Genomic DNA, 6,000 nt, shown 5'->3' with positions numbered 1-6,000 from the left:
TCTAATAATGTGAGTGATAATAATAAGCATCAGGTATTGGGTGTTTACCACATTCTATTTCTTCCTCATTTAGCCCAATAAAGTCGATGCTACTTTCCCAGTTTACATGTGAGAAAACTGAGGCTACAAACAATTAAGAGTCCTGCCCTAAGTCATGCAGCTAATTAGTGTCAGAGCTGCAATCTGGACCCAGGCAGTCTGGCCCCAGAGTCCATGCTCTTAATCACCGATGGGCTGTGCTCCTGACAGCCTGTAAATTCACCGATCTGGAGTCCTGCAAGAAGGGTTACTTCCTGTCCCCCCTCTGTGATTCCCCATGCCTTCGTTTGGGTCTTTGTTAGTAACATCTCAGGGCTCACAAGGGTTGAGACAGAGGGAAGAGGAGAACCAGGGTCTCCGATGCCTTGGAACCCGAGGCAGGCTGGCACCCTGAGGTCCCCGGGCACAGTTTCCCTGCACGTTCATCTGGCGCCGGCGGGCAGATGGGTATGCTGGCCAGTCCTGTCAGCCTGCCAGCTGGCCCAGAGCACCCGGTGGCTGGCACCTCGGCCACTCGGATGGGCTGCCGGCCCGCCTCCCACAGGCACGCAGCTGGCAGTGAGGAGCAGATGGGCCGGCCGGCCGGGCCGTTGGCTCTCCGTTACGCTGCCAGCTGGCTCCGCTGCACTTGGTGTCTTGGCACCTCTGGGCTGGCGTCGGTGGGCAGGAGGGCTGACATGTTGGCTTCCTATAGACGGGCAGCTGGCACAGGCAGCAGAGAGGAGGGTTCCTCGCCCCCTCCTGGCTGCTCCCTGAAATGGCCAGGGGTCATGGTCAATGGGAACTGAAGCCAGAATCCACCCCGCTGTGACCTGAGGAGTTTGCTGTGAGAGCGAGCTTCCTCTCCCACGCCTCCTAGGATCTGCATTGATTTGCACAAGCTCTGGCCTCCCCAGGACCTGACACCTTCCTGCCCCTGACTCCCAGCGCTCTAGCCTCCTTCACCTGGCAGGGAAGGATTGTCCCCCGGCAGGGACCCACAGCTCCTGCCAGCTTCTCTCTGTCTCCCTTGAAGTTGGCTCGCCAGTCCTTTTTCAGCTTGTCTAATTCAAAGGCTCAGCTTCTGTGAGTGCCGGAGAACTGGACTCAGCAAAGGCTGGAATCCTGATGAGATGCTCCATGAAAGCCCAGGAGTCCTGGTTCCAGTCCTTGCATGTTCTCATGGGTGCTGTGAGAACATGTGCTTCCCTCTTCAGGCCTTGGTTTCTCTATCACTTCTTTCTTATTACCCATGAATTCTTATTACTAATGAATAGTTCAGAATAAAATAAAATCCTGCCTCGAGGTTTCTAGATAAACCGTAATATGTTCATGACCCCTGACATTCTAGGTGCAAGCTTATGCATTTGGATGGTGTTATCTGTTGAATTGTGTCCCCAAAATGATGTTGAAATCCTAACCTCCCAAACTTGGGAATGGGACCTTATTTGGAAATAGGATCTTTGCCAATGAACAAACTAAGATAAGGTCATGGGGTATATCCTTATCAAAAGGGGGAATTTGGACACAGACATACATAGAACAAAGACGATGGAAAGATACAGGGAGAAAACAGCCATCTACAAGCCAAGGACCCGTGGGACCACAGGCAGATAAGAGAGAGGCTTGGAACATATGCTGTCTTACAGCCTTCAGAAGGAGCCCACCCTGCCCATACCTTGATCTCTAACTTCTGGCCTCCAAGCCTGTAAACAAATAAATTTCCCTTTTTCTCAGCCCCCTGGTCTACAGCACCCTGTCATGGTAGCCCTAGAAGACCAACACAGGTGAGCATGCCACCTTCTGGGGGATGGTTCACACATTTCATCAGGTCATCATGGGGGCTCATGACCCACCCCACCTCAAATTACAACCATTAATGTCGGTCCCAATCCTACATGGGCTTCCCACGAGGTAACATAATAGCTGTCCTGGCCGGGCGCAGTGGCTCACGCCTATAATGCCAGCACTTTGGGAGGCCAAGGCGGGTGGGTCGCTTGAGGTAAGGAGTTCAAGACCAGCCCGGCTGACGTGGTGAAACTCCATCTCTACTAAAAATACAAACTATTAGCCAGGCGTGGTGGTGCACACCTGCAATCCCAGCTACTCGGGAGGCTGAGACAGGAGAATCACTTGAACCCAGAAGGCGAAGGTTGCAGTGAGCCAAGATCACGTCATTGCACTGCAGCCTGGGTGACAGAGTGAGATTTCATCTAAAAAACAACAACAGCGACAACAAAAAAAGCTGCCCTGAATCCTTCAGGCAGCTGAGTTCAGGTGCATTTTACCTGCTGCTGAGAGCATCCTGAACCACCAACCCTATTCAGGGACAGTTATTTCAGGGGCTGACTCTACTCATGGACACAAAATGGCTGCAGAAGCCCCACCATCACCCCCAGATCCAATCACACTTAGAGATACATTCTGAAACACTGCATAATAAAGTATAAAGCACAGAAATGCATATAGCAGCATGGTTTGGCTATCCAGGGGATGCTTTATTCAGGCAAACTGAACCCATTACCCATGATTTCAGATTTAAAGGAAGTAAAGATCAGCTCACTTTCCATATCTAGCTTTGGATGTGATATCAGAAGACCTGGGGTCTAGCCCGCAACCCCCTTATTTTCTAGCTTTAGAGACTAATTCTGTAGAGCCTTCAACTGGAAAGCAAATAAAAATATGAATCAAGTGACTTCAAGTGTGGTGGCTCATGCCTGTAATCCCAGCACTTTGGGAGGCCAAGGCAGGCAGATCACAAGGTCAGGAGATCGAGACCATCCTGGCTAACACAGTGAAACCCCATCTCTACTAAAAATACAAAAAAAATAGCCGGGTGTGGCGGCAGGCACCTATAGTCTCAGCTACTCGGGAGGCTGAGGCAGGAGAATGGCGTGAACCTGGGAGGTGGAGCTTGCAGTGAGCCAAGATTGCGCCACGGCACTCCAGCCTGGGCGACAGAGCGAGACTCTTTCTCAAAAAAAAAAAAAATTAATATCATGTCATCTTTTAATTCCACTTCTGGGAATCAATCTGAAGATGTGTATCAAACTATGGAAAAAGTTTTATTTAAGAAGGTGCTTATTGAAGCAGTTGGTTTGTAAATTTAAAAAACAAAAAAAGTGAAACAACTGCCCTGGATGGGGTTGGTGGTTTAGGACATTCTCAGCTGCAAGCAACAGGCATCTTAACTCAGCTGCCTGAAGGGGTCAGGACATCCACTATCTTACCTTATGAGAAGCCCAGAGTGAGAGTGCACTGAGAAGGTGCCTGCAGTTGTCCTTTTCTACATGTTAGCTTTATTGCCTGGGCTCACTTTCCTCATGGACACAAAATGGCTGCAGAGATCCCAGCATCACACCCAGATCCAGCCACATTTAGAGAAAGAATGGGGACATTGCCTCATGAATGCCTCTTTGTAAAAGCCAAACAAAGTTTCCCAGGGGCACCCAGCAAAATTTCTTTATATCTCATGGCCTGTGATCGTGCCATATGTCCAGGTCTTAACCAATCTTGAGAAGATAAATAAAGTGGCTGTAATTGGATTGGTCAGTCAGGGCCTGCTCTCTGAGACTGGAGGCAGGGCTGGCTCCAGGACACAGATGGTGGACTTGGACTCTATGAGGAGGAGGAAAATGGGTGTAGGAGCTCAATGTCTAGCAGGCAGTCAACAGGATGGTGTTGTAGTCACTGGTTGTAGGTCAGTTACAATTAAAAAGTTAAGATTATGTTAAAATTAGATGGCAAAAATAAATAGGTGATGAAGATTGAGATGTACATGGCAAGGGTTATCATCAATGGAGAAATGCATTCTTGGAAATCGGTAAGACCAGCACTCCAGTATGATTGGCAAATATGAGCATGTCAGTGGAATATTAATATCCACTAGCCCATGAGAAAAGTACACTGATATCACTAATAATCAATATATTTTGCTTACAACACTGGCCAGGTTCATAGAATCTGATTTTTTGAGGAAACAGGCACTCAATAGCATTAATGATGGATACACAAATGGGAACAGAAAGTTGGCCTTGATGTCACGCCTGTTTATTTTTTTAATTAAGGTGAAATTCACATAACATAAAATTAACCATTTTAAGGTGAATAATTTCAACAGCATTCTGTACATTTATGATACCATACTACCATCACCTCTACCTAGTTCCAAAGCATTCTCATCACCCTAAAAGAAAATCCTATACCCCTTAAGCAGTCACTCCCATTACCCCTCCCCACAGCCACTGGCAACCACTAATCCACTTTCTGTCTTTGTGGATTCACCTATTCTGGATATATCATACAAATGATGGATCATGTGATCTTTTATGTCTGGCTTCTTTCACTTAGCGTGGTGTCTTCCAGGTACATCCATGTTGTAACATGCATCAGTTCTTCACCCCTTTTCACAACTGAGTAATGTTCCATTGCATGTGCCTGCTTTTTGACCCACCAATTGCACATCTGGAAACTTATCCCAAGAAAATGATCATGAAATTGTGCAGAGAACAGCTACCAGGATCTTTCTGAACCCATCATTTCGAAGGCCACAAGATGAGACTTGGGAAAGTAATTATGATTAGTCTATATGTGACAGGATATAAGGAAGACAGCATCCATTATATTACAGCAGAATATTTCACAATACCAGAAAGTACTTACAATTGCTTTGCAGCCTTTTGGCTAAGATCAAGTATTGAAACTACTTGTGGCATGGTGGTATTTCTGTTAAAAGCGTATTATAAAACCTTGTGTTCTCTATGACCCCCTTGTCAGTCATTGCTTCCGTTATAGAGAGCATTTGTGAGGTATGGAACATCTACTGTGCACCAGGCACTGTTCAAGGTGCTGAATAGAAAGCAGTATTTAAATAGACAGAATTGCTGATTTGGGGTAGCATGCAACATTATTGTGTGTGTAACTTTGGTGGGGGCTGATGAATGGGCAATAGGGGGTCCCCTGGGGGAAGGAAGGAGGTGATATCCACGTACTTTGAGAGTCTAAATGTATAAGTAGAAAAAAGTATGGGTGGTAGATTATGAGTAATCTTTATTCCTTTCTTTTTATGTGCTTGTAATGTCCACATATTTTTCAGTAAAGATGTGTGTTATTTTTATAATCAGAAAAAAGAAAGCTGACTTGTAACTGGTAGGCTTATTAAGAACTAGCTATATTACAACACCAAAATGAATAGAATTGAAATGTAAATTAAATTGCAGAATTTAAATATTGTAGACCCTATGCTTATAATCATATATATGTGTGTGTATATGTATATATATACATGTGTATATATGTATATATATACGTGTGTATATATGTATATATATACGTGTGTATATATGTATATATATACGTGTGTATATATGTATATATATACGTGTGTATATATGTATATATATACGTGTGTATATATGTATATATATACGTGTGTATATATGTATATATATACGTGTGTATATATGTATATATATACGTGTGTATATATGTATATATATACGTGTGTATGTATACATACACACATATGTATATACATATACGTACACTTACACATATATATATAAAGCTATGTAAAGACCCAGTTTCTTTATATCATAATTGACACATAGTGCGTATTCAATAAATTCCTGTTGAATGAATGGATTATTTGTCCCTTTACTTCCTATTTTTTTTTATTTTCCACATTTTCCTCAGGATCATGTGGTTCCTTTTTTTGAGACAAAACATCAACCTATTATTGTTTTATTTTTAAATTTTAGTCATATAATACATTTGCAAGGTAAATAAACTTTAGCGTAAGGAGCTAAACAAGACCAGGTTTACACGGTGTCTTCTGCCTCATCGTAGGCCTTCTAGAAATGTTTGTCCCTTTCTTTCTCCCTGGAGGCCTCTAAAAAAGATCCCGTTTACAAGAGAAAAATTGACTCCTCTGCAACTGTTTCTCTCCTGCACGTCTGTGATATAAATCACAGCCTTCCTGAA

General features: G+C 44.0%; 1 annotated feature.

The window, feature by feature from the left end:
• Positions 680-974: a silencer, noted in NCBI's record as "tiled region #1002; K562 Repressive non-DNase unmatched - State 13:Ctcf". NCBI's record gives its function as "represses a minimal TATA promoter and a strong SV40 promoter by Sharpr-MPRA in K562 cells {active_cell/tissue: K562}" and the evidence as "EXISTENCE:reporter gene assay evidence [ECO:0000049][PMID:27701403]".

The sequence above is a fragment of the Homo sapiens genome, chromosome 22 (genome assembly GCF_000001405.40).
Source record: "Homo sapiens chromosome 22, GRCh38.p14 Primary Assembly".
Taxonomy (NCBI): domain Eukaryota; kingdom Metazoa; phylum Chordata; class Mammalia; order Primates; family Hominidae; genus Homo; species Homo sapiens.
This window is presented reverse-complemented; position numbering and strand designations above follow the sequence as displayed.